The sequence below is a fragment of the Homo sapiens genome, chromosome 3 (assembly GCF_000001405.40).
Source record: "Homo sapiens chromosome 3, GRCh38.p14 Primary Assembly".
In the NCBI taxonomy this organism is placed as follows: Eukaryota; Metazoa; Chordata; class Mammalia; order Primates; family Hominidae; genus Homo; species Homo sapiens.
Window position 1 is genome coordinate 111968960 of NC_000003.12, and position 25953 is coordinate 111994912.

General features: G+C 36.2%; 2 protein-coding genes across 8 annotated transcripts in view, besides 6 other annotated features; both read left to right on the plus strand.

Annotated features, from left to right (window-relative positions):
- The window catches only part of PHLDB2 (pleckstrin homology like domain family B member 2), a 244022-nt gene extending 236464 nt beyond the window's left edge, over positions 1–7558 (plus strand). For all 4 annotated transcript variants that reach the window (NM_001134437.2, NM_145753.2, NM_001134438.2 and 1 more), the window contains 3 exons: positions 731–950; positions 4773–4858; positions 5464–7558. In NM_001134437.2, coding sequence (NP_001127909.1) covers positions 731–950; positions 4773–4858; positions 5464–5604 — 447 coding nt within the window. In that variant the 3' untranslated portion in view covers positions 5605–7558. The remainder of the gene's footprint in view (positions 1–730; positions 951–4772; positions 4859–5463) is intronic.
- Positions 9709–10268: an enhancer, noted in NCBI's record as "H3K27ac hESC enhancer chr3:111697515-111698074 (GRCh37/hg19 assembly coordinates)". NCBI's record gives its function as "activates a minimal SCP1, AML or CMV promoter by ChIP-STARR-seq in naive and primed H9 embryonic stem cells {active_cell/tissue: H9 hESC(naive and primed)}" and the evidence as "EXISTENCE:reporter gene assay evidence [ECO:0000049][PMID:30033119]".
- On the plus strand, positions 10067–24409 carry ABHD10 (abhydrolase domain containing 10, depalmitoylase). 4 transcript variants are annotated; one of them, NM_001272069.2, is made up of 6 exons: positions 10067–10244; positions 12825–13008; positions 17305–17416; positions 17955–18092; positions 21741–21792; positions 22418–24409. In NM_001272069.2, the coding sequence occupies exons 1-5, from the start codon at positions 10103–10105 to the stop codon at positions 21780–21782; spliced, it is 618 nt and encodes a 205-aa protein (NP_001258998.1). In that variant the 5' UTR covers positions 10067–10102; the 3' UTR covers positions 21783–21792; positions 22418–24409. The 4 variants fall into 4 exon arrangements, 2 of the variants coding, with proteins under 2 accessions (NP_001258998.1, NP_060864.1); NM_018394.4 differs by lacking the exon at positions 21741–21792; NR_073570.2 differs by lacking the exons at positions 12825–13008; positions 21741–21792.
- Positions 10127–10176: an enhancer, noted in NCBI's record as "active region_20227". NCBI's record gives its function as "activates an Ori minimal core promoter by ATAC-STARR-seq in GM12878 lymphoblastoid cells {active_cell/tissue: GM12878}" and the evidence as "EXISTENCE:reporter gene assay evidence [ECO:0000049][PMID:35858748]".
- Positions 10187–10236: an enhancer, noted in NCBI's record as "active region_20228". NCBI's record gives its function as "activates an Ori minimal core promoter by ATAC-STARR-seq in GM12878 lymphoblastoid cells {active_cell/tissue: GM12878}" and the evidence as "EXISTENCE:reporter gene assay evidence [ECO:0000049][PMID:35858748]".
- Positions 10257–10306: an enhancer, noted in NCBI's record as "active region_20229". NCBI's record gives its function as "activates an Ori minimal core promoter by ATAC-STARR-seq in GM12878 lymphoblastoid cells {active_cell/tissue: GM12878}" and the evidence as "EXISTENCE:reporter gene assay evidence [ECO:0000049][PMID:35858748]".
- Positions 17047–17548: an enhancer, noted in NCBI's record as "H3K4me1 hESC enhancer chr3:111704853-111705354 (GRCh37/hg19 assembly coordinates)". NCBI's record gives its function as "activates a minimal SCP1, AML or CMV promoter by ChIP-STARR-seq in naive H9 embryonic stem cells {active_cell/tissue: H9 hESC(naive)}" and the evidence as "EXISTENCE:reporter gene assay evidence [ECO:0000049][PMID:30033119]".
- Positions 17549–18048: an enhancer, noted in NCBI's record as "H3K4me1 hESC enhancer chr3:111705355-111705854 (GRCh37/hg19 assembly coordinates)". NCBI's record gives its function as "activates a minimal SCP1, AML or CMV promoter by ChIP-STARR-seq in naive H9 embryonic stem cells {active_cell/tissue: H9 hESC(naive)}" and the evidence as "EXISTENCE:reporter gene assay evidence [ECO:0000049][PMID:30033119]".
- Positions 24410–25953: the final 1544 nt, after the last annotated feature.

The following is a 25953-nucleotide window of genomic DNA, read 5'->3' on the forward strand; positions in this document are numbered from 1 at the left end:
AAAATAAGACACCATTTTAGAACTATCACCCATGGTGATATATGCTTCCTAGATTGGACGGGCTTTCATACCAGCCATCAGTAACATAAAAGACATCTAAATACATCCCTTTGGCATCTGGTCCTGGACAGTTCATTACATTAGGTCCAGTTTTGATTCCACTTCTGTCTTTATGTTAGCTTTACTTTTCAAAATATAAATCTCTGCCTTCAATTTCTATCGGAATATATGTAAACTGACAAGTACAGCTTTGTGGGATCCTGTGGGGGCCGTACTTACTAAATAGTGTTCAATCAATCATGTCATGCTTGAGATTACTTGAGAATGATTGTTAAGCTGTGGCAGGGACAACTTCTGGAAACTTAACAGTGGAGCAGTCCTCATCTGCAAGGAGCAGCCCAGAAAACTTCATGCTTCATTACAAGAGCAAAGTACATCTTTTAAACTAAGATAAATGACCATTTTTCATTTTCTCAACTGCCCATCTTAAGGAATAGAATAAATTGTCCTGAGTTTATCTGCCTCTCCCCTACATATTACAGCATCTTTCTGAAAATACTATCCACTTTTTAGACTCCAAATCATAAGTGCTTTGTTTATCTTAAGCTCTTTTAATCATATAGGCATTTTAAAGCTTAGGTTTTACAGTTAATTTCTGCTTCTAAACATCTGTGACCTAAAACAAAACAAATAATTAGCTATAGATGCAATGGGTTTTGCACTTTTCCAGGCTCGTCCTTTGACACGCTACCTGCCTGTCCGGAAGGAAGACTTTGATTTGCGGAGCCATGTAGAGACTGCTGGCCACAATATTGACACCTGTTACCATGTATCAATCACAGAGAAGACCTGCCGAGGATTCCTCATCAAAATGGGTGGGAAAATTAAAACGTGGAAAAAACGTTGGTTTGTTTTTGATCGGAACAAGCGAACATTCTCTTATTATGCAGGTGGGTGATAAAAACAATTTAAGCCATATACTCAAATCAAGAACCCCCTGTTAAAGAGCAAAGGCAATTGAAATTCAGTGTAAATAGGTAGGTTGATACATAACAGAATTAATGGCAATATTAGATTTGTAGGTGTACATTATTTTATATTTAGATTATATAGTCCATATGATATGAATTTCCTTTCTAGAAATAATAAACTTTATATGTTACTTTAAAAAGTGGGAAGTGGTCTATGTTACTTCTGAAGTAAACTCAGGTCCCAATAAATATTAAGTAAAATTTATTCTTTAGATCAAAATATTTCCTTTTATTTGTTTTTCTGTTTTAATCCATTCTTTATTTAGGTAACAAATTGTTTATGTTCACTGTATTTTATGAAACATCACAATATCATACTAGAAATACTATCATTATAGGGTGGGATCAGAAAAAATATTGCCTTTCAAACCACCACACCAGAAAAAAAAGGGGGTGGGGAGAGGTTTGTGATTGATTGATTGTCATACGTCCCATTTAAGTCACACACAATTAGGCAGCCGTAGCTGAAAATCATTCAACTATAGTTCATAAACTAGAATGATCTTTTAAGCACAGAGAGTAAAGCTCATTGGTAAACTAGTGATCAGTACTATTTATTAAGTGACTGAAATATTTTTGGATTCTTAAATGTTGGCTGACAAGAAACATACCCTACCAAATCTTATATAAGTGCAGGAATATTAGTGTAACTGGCATACTTATTAAGAACCTCTTATTTCCTCTTGGATCACATACGAAACATGTCTATTTTTAGTACAAGTATAGCTCTACTTTCTTTGCAGCTGCTAAAAAAGAGTGGTGTCATACCAGATATTATGAAAAAAACCCTGTTTTGGGGTGACTGTCAGTATTTATGAGCATCACCAGGAATAGTAAAATGTATCGATGCAATAAAATATAAATAACAGTCTAGTCATTTAATCAATCCAGTGAGGTCAGGTTATGTTTATAAGGAGAAGTGTGAGAAACCAAGCAGCCTGTGGAAGAAAGGAAAGAGTGGCTCAGGAGCCCCAGAAAATGGGTGAGGAGCTGGTAGGGGAATGCCTGCCTTTCACCGAGGAGCTCTTTGGGTGAGGTTCCAGTTACTGGAGAAATTAGTGGCCTGAAGCCGATGGCCTGCCGGTCCTAGGTCCCCTGCTTTGCCTCTCTAAGGCTTTTTGTCATTGAGTTTTATAAACATCCAGAGCAGCTTTCTTCAGTTAATACAATTTGATGTCTGCACACTGCATAAACAAAACTGTATGATGTGGTATTGTCTTCAGAAAACCTCACCCAGAATTTTCCAAAAATACAACTTTAAAGAACTTCACACAAAACTGCTTCACTCTTCTTCTGTGCTCCTGTTCTCTGTGAGCCTTATTTCATTCTCTCATCTATCGGCCAGGTGAGTGGTTTCATGACCTGGCCAACTGCTTCAAACCTAAGCTCCAAGCTTCAGACCCATGTAAATGTGTCTTTGCAAACCAAAACTTCTGGTGACTGATTTCAATTTTAAAAAAATACCAAAACCTTCTTGGTATATGAAAAATTACCCAGAACCCTAATTTAAAAAAACAGACAAAAATTACATTTCATTTGCTTTTTAATATGTATTTATGATATAACTGGCTGGTGAGACCTAGTTGGACAAACGCTGCTCGTTCGGTTCTGTTTACGGCCATCACCTATCAGCTTTGTCCACTCCTACCCCCACCCCTGCTTCTCATACACAACAAGCACAGGAATAGACCAGTCCGCAGGCAGTCATCCAGATCGCAATTTACGCTGTACTTAACCCTACAGGAGTCATGTCCCTTCTGTCTGTCAGTGAGGGAAATGGCCGTGTACTTGTGAAGGAGCTGCAAATGTGAACACTGAGTGGCAAAGTCCCAGGACTCTGTGTTATTCATGGCCCTGGCCTTTGTCCTTGGCCTCCTGCATATTAACTGGGATCTTTAGGAGAGTCTCTAAAGAAAACCGAGGCCTAGAAAATATGTCTGCAAATTGATGGCATAATACTGAGAGAGACAGAATGTGCAGCGTTATCTCATCAATTTACAATAGCATCATTGCTTCTCTTCGCTCATAATGTGGCTGTGAGGCTTATATTTTTCAGAGTTCTTTCTCATATATGAAGTGCCCTGCAAACCAAAGTTTCCTTCTGCTTGCTTGAAACACTGGCAAGATTTGCTTTTATCTCCAGATTTTATTTTACATTTGCTTTCAGAAAACAAAGTATTATTGTATTCTCATGAATTACTGCAATATCATTTCCAGCAAATGTTTGAGAGATACATTGACCTTGTCTTTCGCAGAAACTGACTGAAACTTAACTGAACATGGTATCAGTTAAAACAGTGTTTCACAAGGAAGAGGAAAAACAAAGAAAAAAATATCGTCAATGGGCAAATAGGTTAGGATATTCTGGATTAAATGCAATTAAATAGTTTTACTCTCTGCTGAACTTTTCAGGGCCATTATTTTTTAGACTAGCTTTTTGTAGTTAAAAAGGGACATTCACCTAGTAAAAAATTCAAAATATAACAAAAATTTGTATGATGAAAGTAAGTCTCTTTATCATTACAAAAGTTCTGATCTCTCGTTTTTAAGCCTTAAATATTTCATATTTTCTCTATTCACTTCTATATATGTTTCAGTATGTATATATTTTCTTTTTTCCTCTTATACATTTGGGACTAAATTATTCATTCTATTCGTACCCTATTTCATATAATAGTATTTCAAGGGTTTTTTCCTTAGGAGCAGATACAGATCTACCTCCATCATTTCAGTAACTTTGTAGATTTCATTGTATGACTGGTCTATAATTGAATCAGTCTCCTATTAAAGCTCAAGCAGATCTTTTGCAACCTTGTGCCACAACAAACACAAATCCATGTACATTTATTTGCACACACACGAGATCTTATACAGTAAGTGGAATTGCTTAGTAAGAGGATTTTTGTGTTTTTAATTGTGTTTGTTTTACCTACTGTCTTCCAAAAGAGGCTGTCTTATTTGCACTTCCACTACTAGGGTATGATAGAGTCTCTTTCCCTGCCTCCTCATTCATGCTTTTAAAATTCTTTAATATGCTGACACGCACTGTGATCCTTGCAGAGTTTAAGTTACAAAATATTTCAAGAACTTAGTAGATCACAGAGTGGTGCTATATGTTTGAGTCATGTTTTGGTTGTTTTTGTTTTGCTTTGTTTTTATGGTAAATGTGATGAAATCTTTGAAAACAGTTTGGAAATTGTTGCATTGAAAGGACAATAAATTATTTGCTTGTAGCTCTGTTGAAAACGGGGGAAAAATCACGCACCCTGAATAAGAAATTTGATAGGAAATAAATATGGGTAGAAAATTATTTTAAATAACAAGTCAAAAAACACTTTGTAAAAATTTTATTACAACAGATCTACATATTAATATTTTCATTACAAAGACGGTCTTGGAAAATGTGGAGAAATCATTTGTATTGGTGCTGTTAGAGTTTACACTTTCCATGCTAACCTGAAAGTCAGTATGTTGGGTTATCTTTTGACTGCTAATCTGCTGGAGAGCCTTAGGCAAAGTCATCTCGTTCTTCGGTTTGCAGCTAGTAATTTTATGGCTTTTCTTTTTTTATTTTTCCAGTATAGATAGAAGGGGCCTCATGCACTAGCCCAAGTTCTCTGAATTAATCTTAGATAAATTAAATACTTTGTAAATATTTTAATGATTATAATTGTAATAAAATTATTATTTTTTCTGTTCCTCAGTGGCGATAAAGTATTTAACACTTATCTGTCTTTGCAGACAAGCATGAAACTAAATTGAAAGGAGTAATATACTTTCAAGCCATTGAAGAAGTCTATTATGATCACCTCAAGAATGCTAATAAGGTAAACATCAGTTTTCTAAATTCCTACAATTTGAATGCATAATTAAGAAGGGAAAAATATTTTTGGAGTCTAAGAAGTTTGAAATTGATGTTCTGATGTAACAGATAGATATGATCAGAATGGTGCTGGAAAAGTAAACATGAAGTAAGTGGGATGGCCGTTCTCTTTGAGGAAAAAAAATATCATAGCAAATTGAGGAAATATTCTGGACATAATGGTTTGGGAAACCCTGCGAAACGACTCTGCCAGGGTTCTAAAAAGAAGCTACCATATAGTTAAGAGGGGGATCGTGAGCAAGTCCTAGTAGGGCTAAGAATAACAGCTACTATTTATTAAACTCCTACTCTCAGCTAGGTACCCTGCTAGAGCTTTACAAACTAGCTGCTGAAATAATTTATGAGTTCTGTCTGAGATTTCCTGTTCAGAAAAATGGTCAATCCTGAAAAAGGCTCTGGGACAGGTGTGTGAGTTATAGTAGAGCAAAAGTAACGCCTTTGTAAATTTAATAAATTGAAAATTTTGAAGAAGTCATCACATGTCTGTGTTATTTAATGTTGTATTTTAAGATGTTTATTTTACATTCTTTTTCCTTTTTTGAATTTTAGAGTCCTAATCCGTTACTCACCTTTAGCGTCAAGACTCATGACAGAATCTATTATATGGTAGCCCCATCGCCAGAAGCCATGCGGATCTGGATGGATGTTATAGTTACGGGGGCAGAAGGTTACACTCACTTCTTGTTGTAGTGAACTGAGGCAACAGTCCACTTCAGGGCAGACGGCAATAATCTCTTACAAGAATGAAGCCATATTCAACCCCAGATGAGAAAACCCAACAGATCCATCCCTTGAGCTGTAAACACTCAGAACTCCTTTCATATCAAGACAAGTTATTTGTAAAAAATAAAGAAGGGGTTTTAATACAAACCTTCATAATAAATAGCAAAATAATTGAAGCTTCCATGAGAAAGAAAACACTATTTTGATAAATTGGATCACTTATAGGAACATTTCTAATAAACTGTTTTTAATCAGTTGTCGGATTTGGTGAAATAAACTAAACAGGTTACAGAATATCTGTATGTACTTGGAAATACAGAATAACTTTATCACCCAAATCACTGGCATTGACATTATTGGTAATCAACTGGCTTTTTTTAAAAAAGGTAGCATTTTGTTGACAGTTATTTTGTAAACATAAGCAAATAAGGGCTTGGAGGGAAATACATTTTAGGAGGAGTTTTGCCTTAATTTTTTAAGTACTGCACCAAAACCAAAGAGCTGACCTGACTTCTGTGGAACAGTAGTAACTGCAAGTGATGAACTGCATTTCGTATTGTTCTGTATATTTCAAAATGGTATTTTGATGCCATCAAATGCCCAGGAAATTGACTTTGCAGTGTCACCACTGGTGTAAGCTACTATATATGTATATATATATGTAGTAAACCACTTTTTGTAAAAGAAGAAAGAGCAAAAAGCTGTGTGTTTTAGAAAAAAAAGCCAGGTTACGCAACAGGCATTCTGTCATGTTGAACAATTTTAAATAAAGAGAATATCTGGTGTTAGGAGCTTGTTTTGCTGAAGATTTCTCCATTCCTGGTGCTGAGAATAAAGGCAACCAGTAGCCAATGTCCTTTAGATTGTCTGATTTCTTTTTGTTGTGGAGCACACCTGCTAACTGCTCCCTCAACATAACTATGAAATCATAGCTCTGTTTTCACCAAAGAACAGACCAATTAACATACTTATTTGCAGAAGTGGTGTAGTTCTATAAAACGGCAAATGAAGTTCAACTTAATATTCTCTATAATGTATTATTTTATTTTATTTTTTACAATTAGCCTTTTTTTTAGTTAATTTTTGTCAAATGAAACGACTTCAGGCAAGTCTCTTTTATAATGGTTTTTCAAGTGCCATTTATTCTAGTTTATCATGTTTTGCATGTTTGAAAGTATGAATGTGCTCTTTCCTAAAACATGGCAAATGAATAGATGTAGAGAATAACAATATTACTTACAAGATGAAATGATTAGATTAGAAGTGTCCCTTTATTAAACTTTGTCAGCCTGACTGGGTACAATTCTTTTGTTAATTTGCAGTGTGGTTTGTATACACGTATACGTGTTATCAATAATAAGATTTTGCAACTGGATGACACAAGATTTTACTTGAACAGTGAAGGACAAAAATCATGATTGTGGAAGATATTTTTAAAATCTGATTTTGCAGCGATCACTTTTAAACCCTGTAGTGATGTAAGACTAAAATATAATTGCTAAGATTTTGTTGGTTAATGTAAAGATATGACTTTTCTGCACTGTACTCTCTTCATAGGATTGTAAAGGTGTTCTAATCCAATTGCATGATGTAGTAAGCCTCTTAAATATGTGTGTTAAATATATTGAGTTTGGATTAAAATGTTGACATGATTTCACATTTGAAAATAAACTCATCTCTTATTTTGAAGTTACCTATCTGTAGTATGATGGAGGATGAATTAATCGCAAATGACAGTTGTAGAAACTATGTAAAGTTTGTTGTGTGCTAACATTATGATTTGTAGTGTATAAACTGAAGTATTCCAATAGAAGTATCTCTGGTTACATCCTATTGCTTACAAAATGAAATGAACCCTGAAAAACTCTGACATCATATTGTTGTCTGTTTACACAGATACATTTATTGCTGGGGATTGCAAGGAGTGTGTTTACTTATCCTTATCTTACACGAAAAAAAAATCATGTAAATGTGATATAAAGCTTTATTTGGTGGGGCATCTCATTTGTCCCCCTGAACTAAGGCAGCAGATTTCAGAGAGAGAAGCTTCCCTCAGCAGTATGTCCCTTTGCCCCCTTTATATATTGATGAAGTCAACATTGACAATAGGTACCCAGAGTGGAAACAAATTTGTCTACTTCAAGCTCATCACTGTCCGTAAAAGCATCTGTACTTGCTACTGGCCATAATTTTTTCTAATTTGTTAGACAACAAGAGTGAATACAGAAAACAATCCATGGGTTTCTCTGCTTTTCTGTGCAGTGATTTTCCCACTATGACCAGTCAGATTTTTCATCTTACTGCAAGTAAAATGCAAGAAGACTTGCAAAAATAAAGGGGAAGAAAAGGGAGAGAAGTGATTGAGAATATTTGCAATTATCCAAAACATGCAGAGAGAAGTGTTTGTTAAGATATAAGGGATGGGCCAGGTGCGGTGGCTCACACCTGTAATTCCAGCACTTTGGGAAGCCAAGGGGGGTGGATCACCTGCAGTCAGGAGTTCGAGACCAGCCTGGCCAACATGGTGAAACCCCATCTCTACTAAAAATACAAAAATTAACCAGGCATGGTGGTCGGTGCCTGTAATCCCAGCTATTCAGGAGGCTGAAGCAGGAGAATCGCTTGAACCCAGGAGGTGGAGGTTGCAGTGAGCTGAGATCGCCCCATTGCACTCCAGGCTGGGTGACAAGAGCGAGACTCAGTCTAAAACATACACACACACACACACAAAAACCCAAAAAAGAAATATAAGGGATGATGAAATGACATGCATCAGGCATCACCTTAGTGATTTAGTCCCTTAGAGTCTACAACAGGTCTAATGGAGAACGGGCAACATAGCTCAGCATCTTTTGGAGTATGTCCTGAAATCAAGTTGCTGTCCTTAACTATATGTCCTTAGTAGAGAGAGGCATCCCACCTCTCAAGAAAGAGATCTATTCAGTCTTTATTTATCTAACTGTTCCAGACTGTTCCAACAGTCCAGGTTCTCACGACTCCAAAGACATGCTGGATTCACTATATCCAAACTTTGCCTTTAATTCTGGTACCAATTACTGCCCCCCAAATTTATAACCAGGATAATAAAAGTTACTTTACTATCTTATATATACTCAAAGTATTACACAAGCCACCATAACTTTTAAATAGGAAACTACTACGTAAAACTCCATGGTTGATGCTTGAGGCCCCCAGGAATTAGTTTGAAAGGTATTTAGAGCTGGAGTCCGGAAACCCTTGTACTACAATTTATTCAACTATTTTTCTATTGTTAGCCATTCCCATTTTTTTCCTTCTCTTTGCCTCTAAAAACGGTGTAGTAGATAATATGCAGTCTTAAGAACTAGTGTTGTTTTTCTATAGGATAATCACAAATTGGTGCCACTGCGTTAAAAGGCACTGGAATGGATGCATATTTTAAAATTGTAATAGATGTGGCCATATTACTTCACAACAAATTTTAGTAATTCACCTTCCTAGCAATCATACATAAGTGCTAGTGTCTAGCATCCTTGCCAATTATTTTTCTTTTTTGCCAACTGAATGGGGGGAAAAAGGCATTATTTTTTTAATTCCAGTTTTTCATTTAGTGAGTTTGAGCATCATGTTTCCTTATATGGGCTGCCTATTTATAGCTGTTGGCCAATTTTATTTGAATTATATTTCTTATTTATAGGAGCAGGCTGAGTAGAAGTATTAATGTATCTATGCTACAAAATCCATTTTTCTAAGCTCTTAACTTGAGGTGTCTTTTGCCATTCAAAAAGTTTAAATTCGTATACAAATATATTTTTTATTTATGATGTTGGGGTTTTGAAATCTTGGTTAAGAAAGTCCCTTCTGTCCCCGGATTATATAATATTCTCCTAAAATTTATTTAATCCTCTCAGTTGTATTCTTCCGTTGAAATCTTTTTTTACTGAAATTTATTTTCGCATATAGCACGAGGAGGGGGCCAAGATAATTCAGTATTTCGTTAATCAGGCATATAGATCTAGAGCGGGGAATGTCCGATACCATTCCAGGTTATACAGGCGAGATTAATGTCAGATCTTGGGAGCATTTCCAGTACAGGTTAAAACTGTCACGCGGTCGGCGGGATTGCAGGTGATGCAGCAAGCCTGGTGTCCTCGACAGGAGACGTTTCCCATCTAGGACCGTTGGATAGGGTTCCTTTCTGAGCTTCCAGCTCTGTAGTATCTATCAGCCCGCTGATAGGGCAGCCTCCCGACGCCACTCAAAACATCTTAAAGGCCCCAAGCCAAACCCCGCTACTAGTAGAACCAACAGTCTAAACGAAAGAGCCACGACGCTCTGCGCATGTGCGCTCTTCGCAAGCTGAAAATCTTGCGGGGAGCTCTTTAGCAAGTTCCGCCTTCCAGCCTGAAGCGCATGCGCAGCCTCGGTTCCGTTGCGTAGCGTGTCCCTCAGTGGGACACTGCAGGGTGCGGGGACAACTACGAAGATGGCGGTTGCGCGCTTGGCAGCTGTGGCGGCCTGGGTACCTTGTCGGAGCTGGGGCTGGGCAGCCGTCCCCTTCGGTCCCCACCGTGGCCTCAGCGTGCTGCTTGCACGGATACCTCAGCGGGCGCCACGGTGGCTCCCAGGTCAGTGTCCGAAAGGCGGGAGTAGGATGCGTTCTTTCGAACGCCTCGGGTTCCGTCAGTTACCGTGCCTGTGCAGTGCGTCTTTGGCGCCCGGTTCAAAAATGCTCCTCCCCCTTTCTCAACACCCCAGTTCTAGGCGCTTTGTAGACTTCTGGTGAAGGCTGTGAGGAGAGCTCTGCCGCGGCCCTGCGGCATTCTGGGCACCCCGGGCCCTCGCTGGCGTTTTACACTGTGCAGTTTAAAGAGCTCCTGCTCCTTACCTGCCTCCCCTGCATTAAAGGCCAACACTAGAAAAAATTAAAATGTGCATTTAATGCATTATTATTAGTTACTTCTAGGAATTTGTAGATTGTGACTCCTAAAATGCTTAGACTGACTCTCCTTTGAGTTTAGGGAACCTAACAATGCGAGGCATGTTCTTTGTAAAAGTGTAGACGCCCTCATAAGCCTAATTTCTAGTTCTGCTTTCTTGCTGCACCCACTCAGTGAAAGAACCATAATCATTATTGCACAAAGGAAACTAGAATTTGGGCTAAAAATCAGAGAACCTCTTATATGTATATATAGTCTTTGAATTAGATCCTTTTATTTTTTTGGCTTTGTGTGTGGTTCACACCATTGCCACGTAGCTGTCAGATGATGCATGGTGCTTGGAGTGGTAATTAATGTCACGGCAGAGATCTTTTGTATGGAGATTTTTGTATCCAGTTTTTAAACTTTTATAATCAGATTAACTTGCATTTAATTGTGCGCAACCAAAAGGCATGTTACACATGCAAATACTCCTAGTAAAATGTAGTATGTCAATTCATTAACCAGAGTATAATATTATTTCATCTAGTTAGCACTTATTCATTGAGCACTTATGCACCAGGCTTTGAATTAATCCTTATGTTCAAAGATGATTTATGAATATAATTATATGAATCTGTCTACTTAGAACTTACATTAAATAAATTATAATCATCTCGGGGAAATTATGTTTTAAGAGGTGATTTCTGGAAGAGGATAGTGAGAATTTTTTTTAGTGCTCAGCTGAGTAGATGGGAAATGAACATGAGTGGATCAGCATAACTGGTCCTTACCAAAAGTTTTAAATTTGGCATATTTCTCTATACTTTGAAACAAGCTTTTATGTAAAAAGGATAACTTTAAGGCCTTCAGTTACATCTTTAAAAAATCAACTTCTTAATTACAAAATGGGGAAAACTTTAGCAGCACACATGGATTCTCTTCTCAAGACTGAGAAGTTTTCAAAGTGGAGGACGGCTTCATTTAATATAAAAAAAGAAAATGTATTAGTCCAAAGACTCTAAGGAAGTACACAAAACTAGTGTCTTTGGAAAGAAGAGGTGGGATTATAAATGACTCTTTTAAAAAAATATCTACTTGTTTCTTAAGAGCAAGTATAGATTTTATAATGGGGGAAAATTTGAAAAAGATGAAGTAGGATAATCTTATGAAGTTCACCAATTGTACTGTTGTACTTAAATTACACTAAAATCTCTGTGTACCATTTACAGAAAGCCAAACCAACAAAACGCAAAGTGATTGCATAGGTCTATAAGAAATCTCTTTCCAAAAACGATACTATCATATGTTGTTTTTAAAGAAACTGCTCATTGAACCCACCTCAGCTGACAATAAAATTATGAGTTGTTACCATGGCTCATGATTTCTTGGTTGAGGTAGGCGGATGGGTGGGCGGGTGGATGGGAGTCAGTAATAAAAAGGGCACAGCACGTCCTCCTTTGAAACAATTTTGCAAGGGCAGACCAAACCTGTTTCTTCCCTGACCCCCAAGAAAGTAGGGGATGAAAGGCCAGGCATGGTGGCTCACACCTGTAATTTCAGCAATGGGAGGCCAAGGTGGGAGGGTCACTTGAGCCTGGGAGTTTGAGACCAGTCTGGGCAACATAGTGAGACCCTGTCTCCACAAAAAATACAAAAATTAACCAGGTGTGGTGGTACATGCGTGTAGTGCAGCTACTGGGGAGGCTGAGGTGGGACGATGGCTTGAGCCTGAGGAGTCGAGGAAGTCCAGGCTGCCGTAAGCTAGGATTGCACCACTGCACTCTAGCCTGAGTGACAAGGTGAGACCCTGTCTCAAAAAAAAAAAAAAAAAAAAAAGAAAGAAAATAAGGGATGTGAAACTTGTCAAACAAAAAATAAATTTAAAAACAAAGCCAAAAATCTCACAAGAGAGGGCTGAAACTATTGCGGGTAAATCTGAATGTTGATTGATACTGTTTAGAATACATGATAAAGCAGTAACAAGAAAATGTTTTTCGATTAGTCTCTGTCTTTTGTTGTCTTGAAATTCCTACCGCATTGTGTATTTTGGAAGAATCAAGATTGGACTTTGCTCAAAGAAGTTACTGATGTTGGCATGATTTTAAAACTGGAGATCTCATGCACAGACTTACTTAGTACTTTGAGTCTGTTCTTGTTTTTTCTATTAAATGGAAATAGTATTTAACATCAATTCATTGAGATAAGAAAGTTAAGATCGAAAATATATATGGTTTTCCAAAGACTGAGTTTACAAACCATAGTTTACTTTTTGTGTACTTTGTTTAGCTTGTAGACAAAAGACGTCACTCTCATTCCTTAATCGACCAGACCTTCCAAACCTGGCTTATAAGAAGCTAAAAGGCAAAAGTCCAGGAATTATCTTCATCCCTGGCTATCTTTCTTATATGAATGGTACAAAAGCGTTGGCGATTGAGGAGTTTTGCAAATCTCTAGGTCACGCCTGCATAAGGTAGGAACAACACATTACTGAGAAAATATTGCTACTGTTAGCATTACAGTGGAGAATTACTTCTGTTCTAATCAGTTGAAGTAAATGCCAGCATTTTTATACATTATTTTAATGGTCTGTAAACTTGCATCTTGTGATTTAGGGTAATTTTAAAAGCAACCTTTAAAAGACCTTTTTTAAAGGCCTTTGTGCCACGCTGACAACCCTGGCAGAAAAGGACATCTTAAGGGAAATATTGGTAACTAAGCTCTTTAGAGGCAATAATGTATGTGACAACAAACAGATATACTAGTTGGCTTTCATACAGTCTCTTATATTATCATTTTCCACTGGGGACTTAAGGACTTTATTTGATCACTGTTTATCTAAAAGTAATACATGTATTTAAAAGTATCATAATGCAAATTTCTGCTGAGTTTTCTCTTCCCTCTCCTGTAATCTGAATATGTATAAGCATAAATAGGGATAAGTGGTACTTAACTCAAGCTTGATTTTATAATTCCTAATTTTTCACACTGAGAGTTATTTTAGTAAATAACTTTATGTTATTATAAGGTCTACCTGTAGCAGTTATATGTTTAGTATCCACTGTCCAGAAGAGATGGTATGATTTCGTAAAAAGAAGATTAGCCTGGAATTCAAGAAACATGAGTTCTAGAATAAATTCGAGCAATAACTATGACAAGACAAGTAAGTTAATAAACATTGGACCTAAGTTTGTCATCAAAAGAAGGAGGTTGGACTAGAGATAACTTCTGAGTTATTTTCTAGCACTAACAGCCTAAAAATCTATCCATCTAAATTTTTAGAAGAGTGACTCACAAACATTCATTCAATAATTCTAGAAAATACAGCTGTATATAAAACTTTCAGACTACCTGTTCAATATATTAGCAGCAATTATGTCAATTATAAAATTAAATAAGATTTAATCTTATTTCTTTTACCAAACTAATGAATTATTTTATTTTCATACTCAGAACTATGTTAAAATCTGTTCTGACTTATTCTGAAGATTGGAGTACTTTTTGGAAATAGATTCTCTAGCACTATACTGAGTGCTGCATAATAACAAAGAATTATAAAACATTGTACTTGCCTATGAGGACCTTTCATTCAGGGTGGGGAAACACAAGATAAAATACATGTTAGAAATTTGGCAGAAATACTCATCAGAATGTGATTGTGTCAAAAGAACAGTATACTTAATTGCATAAAGTTAGAGACAGTGGGATTGAAATAGATAAAGGAACGTTGAAGAATAATTCAGATTTGGGTGGGAGGGAAGTGCTGTCCAAGGAGGGGGACTGTCCTGAGCAGAAGATCATAATATCAAAAATATTGTTATCACTTTTCTTTTTTGCCACTGAATAAATTTGAATCGAGAAATCACCATTTTACCAGTTCTAAAATTTCAGCTTTGAGACTATGAGAGTTATAACCAGTTCCTGTCTCCCTATAAGACATAATGTGGCTTTTCTGCATTTTTGGATCCTGTGTGAGTATACCTTCATAAAGAATAGTGCTTAACTACAAATATTTAGTTTGAACAAGTTCCATTTTATTTGCTCTTATCAAAGTTCATCACAGTCTAATTATTGTTAACTATTGATTGCACTTTATTATAAGAGATTTTATCTTCTATTCTCTAATTTTTCAGGTTGCTTTTGTTGGGATTTTTTGCTGTAAAATTTAGATCTTCAATGATGAAATAGTTTATTACACAAGAAATAAAACATATGACTATATGAAAATGTTTTATTAAGGTCCTATCACCATGCCTAAAATAAGACTGATTCAGATCTCAGGAATATAACATATGGTTTTAAGGCTGGTATTCTCTCATAATTATTTGTAATAGAATTTTTATTTGGGACTACATCCCAGACTATTGAGGCTGCTAAGATGGAGATGTGCTACTGTTTAAAAGTTTTAAAGTGCTGAATATGTTTGGATTATCTTTGTCTCTGGATTGGGGTTCAGTGAGAGTTAACTATATTTTTTTAATGGTACCCTGTTAGTATCACCAAGTATTTATATTTTCCTTCATGAAGGAGCTGTACAAGTATTTTGCATCCTCACCATATATTTGGAAGGCAGCTAACTGTAAAAGATGCCACATTCAGCCATATCCAATTGCCACCTATGAAGAGAGAAAAGGAGAAAATTAGTTGGTGTCTTTCCCCCTTTTTTCTTCCACCCCTTCTACCCATCTCTTACATACCCTGGATTGAGGGGGAAACAGTAACTGATTTAGACTGCACCAGTTGCCCTGTTCTATTTCCCAAGGATCCAAAATCGTTTCACTTCAAACCTAAAGAAAAATTTAATTTCTTCTCTCCCCTATTTCTCATAAATCCCTTACTTACTGTACCAGCCATTCCACCAAAAAGGTTCATTTGAACTAGGCTCTGGGAAAGGATATCAGTAAAGAAGGGAAAATATATCAGTAAAGAAGATGATGGAAGAAGGTATTCCAGGTAAAGGAATCAACAGTGTGAGATGTGAAACACATAAGAAAACATAGACCTATTTTAGGAACAGTAAGTTCATCAATTTGTCTAAAGCAGTAGTATTCCCTGATGAAGTGAGTACTACTGTAAAATTTAGTAGTAAAAAAAAATTTACTGTAAAATTTATTGTGAAATCAATCTGAAATGACCAGAATATAATGGTTCAAAAAAACAGGCCAAAGCACTAAGTGTTTATGTTGTATATCACAGGGAGCACTGAAGGTAATGCTAAAATGTTAAAGAAAAAAACTGACATGTATATAGTGACTCTATTTAAAGACAGAGTCATAGAGACACAAGATAGAAGGCTACTGTGATAGTCTAGGTCTAAGATGACAAATAAACACCTACACCAAGATACTGGACTTACCAAAGTACCAAGAAAGGGATGAACATAAGAAGAAATGAGAAAGAATGGTGATGGTATAGGGCAGGCAGTATTCTGTGGCCTGGAAAAACAAACGAATAAAACAGCCTCCTCTTAAGGAACTGACATTCTAGTCAGAGGGAGATGAATGTTTAAAAACAAACTTGATTACAATACAATATGAAAAGTGTTGAGTACATACAAAAGAAAGTGACTGGTACTAAATGGGGCATATATGTCAAGTGAAGTTCCTCAGAGGAGGTGACATGACTTAAAGGGTGACTACGAATTTGGGTTGGGGAGGAAGCTGTTCTTGGCAGCAGAACAGCATGCTAAGGCTCTAAGTTATAAAAGGGTGTAACTGGGAATTAGGAGTAGTTCAGTATGACTAGAGTTTAGGTAACCTGTGGGTGTGGTATGATACTTTATACCACCATGATTTTTTATTGATTTGATACCCTTAAGGAGAGGTAAAATTCATAGATCAGACAGATAACTGAGCCTAGATAACTAGGAAGTTGGAAGGAGAAAGGGATGGGTTGGTGATGATGAATTTTATTCTGGTCTCCTTCCCTTCCATCAATTCACTAAATATACACTAAGCACCTACCACTCGCAAGGAACTGAACTAGGCACTAGGAACGCATTGAAACAAAGCTTGTGCCCATGTGGAACTTTCATTCTAATGTGGGAGATGGACCATAAATAATCAAATATATCTCAAGTAGTAATAAGTGCTATGAAGAAAATGAAGCAGAGTAAAGAATTAGAGAATGATGAAAGCAGCACAGTTTTAATAATTGAATGGTCATGGGAGGCTTTTCTGAGGATGTAATATTTGAGCCAAAGGCCTGAATGAAGTGTGGGAGCAATCTAAATGGCTATCTGGAGGAGAGTATGCCATGTGGAGAGAAAAGCTGATGAGATGGGAGCTTCAAGAAGCAAAGCGAAGATACAGTTGGGAGGGAGGGAGGGAGAGAGAGAAAACAATGAGAAATGAGATCAGAGAGGTGATCAGGCACCAAAGTATGGTAAGGGCTCTGGATTTAAAGATTATAGAAAGCCTTTGGAGGGTTTGCAAGACATGGTTTTGTTTTAAAAGGATCACTCTACTATATAGGGAAAGACAATGAGTGTGAAAATGCAAACAGGAGACTTTTTAGGAGACTATTGCATTCAGTTAGGTTGAGAGACAGTGTGACTAGCAACAGGCTGGTAGCAGTGGAGGAGGTGAGAAAGTGATTGGACACAGGAGGTATTTGAAAGTTAATAAGCCAATAGAATTTGCTAAAATACATATTGATTGTGATGTTTCACTATAAGCATTATAGTAATGAGGAAGGTGCTATCTTTCTTAAAAATTAAAGAAGCAGATATATAGATATTTAGATATAGATTTTTTTCCCCTTTTTCCAGGTTTGATTACTCAGGAGTTGGAAGTTCAGATGGTAACTCAGAGGAAAGCACACTGGGGAAATGGAGAAAAGATGTTCTTTCTATAATTGATGACTTAGCTGATGGGCCACAGGTGACTGTTTTGTTAAGTATGATGATAATTACTGTAACCTCGTATTTAAGCTGTTTGTTTTGTTTTGTTTTGTTTTTTGAGATGGAGTCTCGTGCTGTCACCCAGCCTGGAGTGCAGTGGCGCAATCTTGGCTCACTGCAAGCTCTGCCTCCCGGGTTCACGGCATCCTCCTGCCTCAGCCTCCCAGGTAGCTGGGACTACAGGCACCCGCCACCACGCCCGGCTAATTGTTCGTATTTTTAGTAGAGATGGGGTTTCACCGTGTTGGCCAGGATGGTCTCGATCTCCTGACCTCGTGATCCGCCCGCCTGGGCCTCCCAAAGTGCTGGGATTACAGGCGTGAGCCACCACACCCGGCCTAAGCTGTTTCTTTAGATATGAAAATGTTTTTATTTAATTTAAATGTTTAATCCATTTTGATATTTGATTTAAAATGATTCTATTTTTACTTTCTAATTTTTTATTGTACATATTTTGTTTTATGTTTATAACCTGTTCTATCTTAAAGACCTAATGTTTTATTTTATTTTATTTTTAGATTCTTGTTGGATCTAGCCTTGGAGGGTGGCTTATGCTTCATGCTGCAATTGCACGACCAGAGAAGGTCGTGGCTCTTATTGGTGTAGCTACAGCTGCAGATACCTTAGTGACAAAGTTTAATCAGCTTCCTGTTGAGGTAAGTCAAAAGTCACTTTTGCCACCTCAATATATTTACCGCTTATACTTCTTCTGCTCCCTCTTTCTTTGAGGGAAGGGGGGACAGAAAACAATAATTCCTTTGACTTACTGTGCTGGCCCAACTTTTGTCTTAGCTGCCTTTCTGTACACAACCTCTTTTCTATCTTTAACTATTTGTCATCTTGTTTAAGATTTCGTTTCTTCATAGTCTCTTCAAATCATTCTGCCAAATATTTGAGACACATTAACAATATCACACTTTGAAGTTTCTTTTTTTTTAGCCACATTTTCTTTATTATTACATTTACTTATTTGAATCATACATCGTGATCTCCTTTTGGTCCTCTTACTTTGTGGCATATGGGGAGTAGTGCCTGTTCTTATGACTATGTTAGAGTGGGCTAATGAACTGAAACTGCAGTCATCCCTTGGTATCTGAAGGGGATTGCTTCCAAGACCTCCCATGGATACCAAAATCCACAGATGGTCAAGTCTCTGAGAAAAAAAATGGTGTAGTATTTGCACATAATCTTGTATAATCTAAATCATTGCCAGATTACTTAAAATACCTAGTACAATGTAAGCGCTATGTAAATTGTTGCTATACTGTATCGTTTAGGGAATACGGACAAGAAAAAAAGACTGTACACGTTCAATACAGAGGTAACCTTTTTTTTCCAGATATTTTTGATACAAAGTTAGTTGAATCCATGGATGCAGAAACCATGAATATGGAGAGCTGACTGTCTTTGTTTTAGCCTAAAAGCAGCCTCAGTTCCTCCCAACAGAACTCTCCAGACAGATATTGTCAGTCAGAGTGACAGAGACACAGAAATTAAAGAAAACAGAGCAGTAGTTAAAAAATATGGTCCCTAGGCTAGCAGCAGCAGCAGCACCTGAGAACTTGTTAGAAACCCAAATTCTTGGGTTTTACCCTGAATCAGAAACTGGGGGTATGGCCCAGCAGTCTGTGTTTTAACAAACCTCTTGTAAAGTTTGAGAACAATGCTTTAGAGAATGGGGGAAGAGGAGAAGGAGGTTCAGAAATTTAAAAAAAAAGAAGAAAAAACGTATGCAGTGTTGAATAGTAGAATGTCATTGATTTGCCTCAAGTTCTGCATTAATACCTGTGCCATATATTAACTAAGTTCATTCTTAGTTCACGTTGTTTTAAGCTCCTTAAGAAATAGCATTGTGTGTGTATTCAGGTTTCTCATATTATTTCCTATCAGAGCTGAAATTACAAAGCTGGTCTTCCTTGAACTTATCTCCTGTTTCTGAATTTTGTTCACTTTCTTGGTGGTTTCTCATACATAGTTGCTCAATGTCTTCATGTTTTTCCCACCTTTGACATTTTGTGGATCTAAATGTGGACTCCTTGCTCCATCCTCTTAACTCAATAATACAGCGCTTCTTGGGTAGGAAATTATCTCAAAGACATAGCAGATTGAAAAGGAGTTGATTTTTGGGGGTTGGGGGTTTATTGTATTTTGTAATTATTGGTAAATGACAAAACCTGTGTACATTTGTTTTGGTTTTGTTTTTATTTGGGGGGGTTTTTAGGGTATCTCTGTTGCCCAGGCTGGAGTGCAGTGGTGCAGTCATTGCTTACTGCAGCCTTGACCCCTCAGACTCAAGAGATCCTCCCACCTCAGCCTCCTGAGTAGCTGGGACCACAAGTGCACACCACTATGCCTGGCTGATTTTTGTATTTTTTGTAGCGATGGGGTCTCGCCATGTTGCCCAGGCCGGTCTTGAACTCCTAGGCTCAAGAGATTCTCCTGCCTTGGACCCCCAAAGTGCTGAGATTAGAGACACAAGCCACTGTGCCTGGCCATGTACATTTCTCTGCGTGTGTGTGTGTTCACATCAGTCAGAGTGAGCATAGGGTAGATACTTTCTAATTGAGAAGATTTATAATCTGCAAATCAAGGCATTTTTTGCTAATACTTACTCAGATAAGCAGTTGTTAACAGAAGCATGTTGAGCCCTTGGTTAACTTAAAAGCATGTATAAGGAAAGAGCACCAACACTAAGACCGCTATCTCTTCTCCACATAAACAGCTAGCCCTAACAATGTCAACGGAGCAGATGTGGAGATTTTTACTATCTTTTATAACCCTGGGAATAGTAAGCCCAGCATTTCTCATTTCTTCTCTAAGAACTTGACCATCCTCTTTAACTGACTCTAATCATTATCACCTTCTTTGGACACTAGAGGGCCTCAGACATGATGCACAGCTGTTGGGAATGTAAGCTTCTGAACCACATTGCCTTGATAAGTTTTGTTGATGTAGAACTTAATATATTGTACATTTTCTTTGGGTAATGTCTTTGCTGTTTCTGAACTTTTTGTTCTTGAGGACTTGAGACATACAACATTTTATAAAGTTAACTTTGTTCTTCAGATGGACCATTTTCATTCAATTCAGTGGCAGGTAGCAGAGCTAGTTGGGGGCCAGGGATGCTTAAAATGAAACTATTATTAATTCAGTGTCGCCTTAATTAGCAAAGCCTCCACTTCAGCTAATAACCAGTGGGACTAAGTTCTATCTGCTGAAGTATTTACAAATTCAGAAACAATCCTGAGTAGCTTGAGGATAGCTAAATGTCATCTTTACTTTAAATATTTGGTTCATATGTTGTTTTAATACAGAGAATGCCATGATATTGATATAGATTTATATACATTTTATAGTTTTGTAGAATTTCATTAATTTTAAATCATTTGGAGACATATTTAGAAGTACAGTTTTTTTTTTACTGAATTATTAAGTCTTTTTGGAATTAAAAATACATTAAAGCCTAAGTACATATAGATTATATTATGTCATACATATTTTTTAAGTTCTTGTTTTCCTTTTTACATTTGCAATAAATTAACAATTTTAAACATGGGAAAATCATAGTATATTTGTTGAAACTTTAAATTTTTCAAATATGTGTAGCTTTTCTTTCCTTATTTTTTAAAATTTTTGATAAGATGTCCATTCCATTTTTCTAGAAATGCCCTTAATATTATATGATTGTAACAGTCTTGAAACTATTCATAGCTTGATTTTTGTTTTAGTTTTAAGCTGTGATCATCTTTCCAATAATCTATTATATATAAATAAACTTTTATGCTCAAAAGTGTTCATGACAATACCACAGTATGAGATGGTCAAACTAATTAAGTCAATTATGGTGGACTGCTGTGCAGCATTTAAAACCTTTTCATAGAATTTTTTAAACCCAGAAATATATGTACTAAATAAACAGCATAGAAAACTGTATATGAATGTGTAATATGTATGTATTTTACATATTACACAAAAACCAAAACACATATAGACAAATATTGGAAGGAAATAAGCCATATATTAATGGTTTTTCTCTCCATAAGATAGGATTATGGGTGATTTATTTCTTTAATTATTTTTATGTTTTCTATAATGACTGCATGTTACTCATTATACAAAATTCTAATTTTTTTAGAAAAATTAAGATAAATTATATAAAAAATAAGAGTTCTCAAAAAGTCAAAGGACATGTATATTTCATTTTAAGGGAATAAATATACAGATATTATTGTTTGGCTTTCAGGAAGTATGTGGAAGACTTCTTTGTCATCCAGAACAAAAATCAAATTTTTTCTCTTTTATAGGACTCTGGAAGGAAAAACTATATTTCTTTACATTCAGCCTAAAATTGCATGAGTATGTGTATGATTGTTACAATGTAATTACTCTTATTTTTTTATTCTTAGTTCTGTGTTTGATTCTTTCTCTTCTTTCCCTATGCCATATCCATTTTAGCTACTTATAAGCACTTTTAGGTTTACAATTTTGAAATCTAAACAATGTTTATTCTAAGATTTGATTTTATTTAAATATGAATGATACCTGGACTGATTCCAAGAAATTGTAGTGCTTTTCTCCCTCTTCATTTTTCTTTTCAGTTGGGGTGAAGCAACATCTGATTTGAGATAGTGTATGATAAAATTAAATAAATTTAAATTTAAGTTTGAGTCTTAGCCATAACAGTTAGTAGCCTAGCCCTGAACTGTTGCACACAGTATTTCATTTATCTAAACCATAATATCCTCTTTTATAAAAATAGAATAATAACAGAATTATTATCAGAATCTTATGGAATAATATGTATAAAATACCCATCACAGTACCTTGCATGTAGTAATTATTGATAATTATTATTGTTATACTTTTGTTATCTCTATCCTCTTATTCAAGAACTGCTTTCATTAGATTACTTAAAACTATTGCATGTGTTAATGTTGCCTAAAGTCACAAATACTTTTATTTTTCTTTCTTTTTCCAATAGCTAAAAAAGGAAGTAGAGATGAAAGGTGTGTGGAGCATGCCATCAAAATACTCTGAAGAAGGAGTTTATAACGTTCAGTACAGTTTCATTAAAGAAGCTGAACATCACTGCTTGTTACATAGCCCAATTCCTGTGAACTGCCCCATAAGATTGCTCCATGGCATGAAGGATGACATTGTACCTTGGCATACATCAATGCAGGTTGCCGATCGAGTACTCAGCACAGATGTGGATGTCATCCTCCGAAAACACAGTGATCACCGAATGAGGGAAAAAGCAGACATTCAACTTCTTGTTTACACTATTGATGACTTAATTGATAAGCTCTCAACTATAGTTAACTAGTATCACATGTTTAGTTGGTATGTAAACTAATGTATCCAGAAGATTGGAAGAGGGATAAGAAATGAAAGATCCTGATACTTTAGGTTTTTCCCTTTCCTCTATTTTGTAAATATAAGATGAGTATTATTTAATGATGTATTTGCATAAGTAATGCAAATTGTGAAGAAGGACCAGCTGCTGTTTAGAAAATTTTCTCCTTCCTTCTGTCCTTGATTTTTTTTCATTAAAGTATTTCCTTTTTTTAATTCAAGAAAAGTTTACCTTTCTTATGCTTATGTTAGCTATGCCAGCTCTTAATTGCATCCTTTTCTAATTAGGATTATTAATAAAGCGTGAATATTTTGTTTTTTATTATAGACAGAAATTTGTAACATTACTTCTGATTTGAAAATGCAATTCACAAAATATAGGGAAATTTTTATTGAAGTAAATTTGAAATGATGGAGAAATTTCAGAAGCATAATAAAGTTCACAATAAGGATAATACTTTATATAATGTATAAAGTATATATAATATAATATATATGTTATATAAACTGCACATTATATTCAAACTTAAAATTGAGCTTTTTTTTTAAAGGCCCAAAATTGTACAGTGATACAAGGAGCTATTTCTAAAATTTGGCTTATGTATAATATATTTAAATGGGGAATTTCATCTAAAACAATGATGTAGTATTTTTAATATTCTGATTGGTAAAATTAAAGAGGAAATTAATCTTTATATATTATTTCTTGCAGAAACATTCATTATTTTATTAATATTGCCCTAAGTACAACTAGGCAAGTGATTGCCACCTAAATCAGAAGACGTTCTAAAGTCAGTAAGAAAGTGTGAAATGCTAGTATAAAGGTTATTTTTTTTCTTTCCTAAATAACTAAAGTGAGGTGTAGATTGAGCCTTGATATTATTTAGTTAATGTTTTTTATTAATTAATTTTGGCTGGACTTTATTTAGCTTGATTAGGTTATTATCTGTCAAACCTTTTAAGTTGACAACATGACTCATATATATACATGTGTATAAGATGAGCATGTGTCGAAGACTTATTCGACTCATTAATGAGGAAACCAGCAGATAGTAAACCTGGTTCAAAGTACAATTCAAGAAACTGAGTATTTATGGGCATTGAAGAAAAAATGTTGAGATAAAATTGCTGTGCAGAAAAAAGTGTTAATGAAGCCGACCTGACTACTTAACCTTAGAGACCTGCTTTACAAGGTTGGCCCTTGATTGGCATCTGGGAACTTGGAGTTCAGGGGGCTTCCACCATTCCCAGAACTGATCAAAGTAGCTTACTATATCTAAACTGTAAAACAATATAGTTTCTCCTGAACACCTGCTTTCCTTCTGGGAGTCTGGAATTTTGGTATGTGCCAGGCAGAGACTACCTTTGTGACCAGCTCCCAGTAAAAACCCCAGGCACTCAGTCTCTAACAAGCTTTTCTGGTTGACAGTGTTTCACAAGTGCTGTTACAACTGGTTGCTGGGAGAATTAAGCTCATCCTCTGTGATTCCACTGGCGGAGGATTCTTGGAAGCTTGCACTTAGTTTCCCCTGACTTCACCCCATGTGTCTTTTTTCCTTTGCTGATTTTGTTTTGTATCCTTTCACTGTAATAAATCATGGCCGTGAGCAGAACTGTATGTGGAGTCTTATGAGTCTTCCTAGCAAATCTTCAAATTTGGGGGTGGTGGTGAGGGCCTCTCCACAGATACAAAACTGGTTTATGTCCTACGGGGCAATTAAACTACAATCCATGGGTTATCTTTTATACTGGACAAAAATTACAAACAGCAAAGATAAATCATCTATGAGTGCCACAGTCTCTGGTGCTGGAGTGGGTTGATAGAAGATGGCACTGGCTATTCAAGGACTTACTTTGCCTAGACATTGCTAGGTGTGAGGCTTGTTAGGAACATGAAGGCAAGGGCCCTTGCCAATGATGGTTTTCTGCGCAAAATAATAAATATGATTTGAGATTTATAATACATATGTAGAGACAGTATAGCATAATGGTTAAGGTCAGAGACAAGCTTGGTTTTTAATTTTGGCTCACCATTTACTAGCTCTGTGACTGAGCAGTTAACCTCACTGAGTCTCAGTCTCTTCTGTAAAATAACATAAACCTAGATAATGCGGTGTAAGGTCTAAATAAGCACAATACATTTAGAACAATGACACAGGAGGCAGTATCTTTTTGCTTTTCATTATGTACAGAACACAGTCCCTTCAGAGACTGATGGACACAATCAATGAAGGCATAGGAAGGAAGGTGGAGGCAAGGAAGTGGGTAGGTCTTCTAAAGCTGAACTGAACTGGACTGGATTTGACCTTCCTGACCTCAAGATCCCAAATAGGAATGTTGTATGGTATTCTTTCAAATGCTAATGGTTTAAAACAAAAAAGGAGAAGGAACCTTTATTACCTAAAGTTAGGAAAATCTTTTAAAATTTAATCTAGCTTTGCAGAGGTTAACATCGCAAATTCCAAATGAGTTTGCATCCATGAGATTTAGTGTATTTTAGTGCGCTGTTAATTATTTGTTTTTTCTAGTTTTCCCCAAAGCTCCTTTCTGAAACCGTTCCATCCCATGTATTTAGTGACGTGTAAAATGGAGGAATAACTGGGAGCCCTTCAGTGCCTTAGCCCCTGGAACTTAGTCATTATTTAAAATAAGTGACACGACCCCTCTAAATCTCAGTATGCACAACAGAAAGGGATAAGGCAAATACCATTTGAAAAGAAGGCTAAGTGAAGCCACGTAATCTATTTTGCTTTTGCTACATCTGTTGAGATTAGAGGCATTTCCAGATACAAATCTAAAAAGTACACCATTCTCCAAACAGCCAATATAGAAACGTCTCTGGAGAATGAGAAGAAAAAAGCTCTGGGCAACACTGAGTTTTATAAAATATGGAGATAGAAAGCTGAAAGAATTACTTGCCACATAACTATTCCCAGGATAGTCCCCAAAGCGAATATGTCAAATACTCATTAAATTTGGAACAGTTAAATCTAAAGAATTTTTATATTCTGGGGTTGAGGTGGGTGGAATTTCAATATACCTTTTTAAGATCCTCTAAATATAGATCTCAAGTACTTCTTAGTTTAGAAACAATCGTGGAGATGTGTAATGGTTGGATGAAAAAAATGTGATGCTTTGGTGTATTTAGAGAATATACCTAGA

What these genes read in the sequence shown, in the direction of transcription:
- ABHD10 (NM_018394.4), top strand. Translation starts at nt 10,103, where the DNA reads ATGGCGGTTGCGCGCTTGGCAGCTGTGGCGGCCTGGGTACCTTGTCGG. An exon ending in CTAGGTCACGCCTGCATAAG is followed by an intron (nt 13,009 to 17,304) that starts GTAGGAACAACA and finishes CCCTTTTTCCAG; the next exon opens with GTTTGATTACTCAGGAGTTG. An exon ending in ACTTAGCTGATGGGCCACAG is followed by an intron (nt 17,417 to 17,954) that starts GTGACTGTTTTG and finishes TTTTATTTTTAG; the next exon opens with ATTCTTGTTGGATCTAGCCT.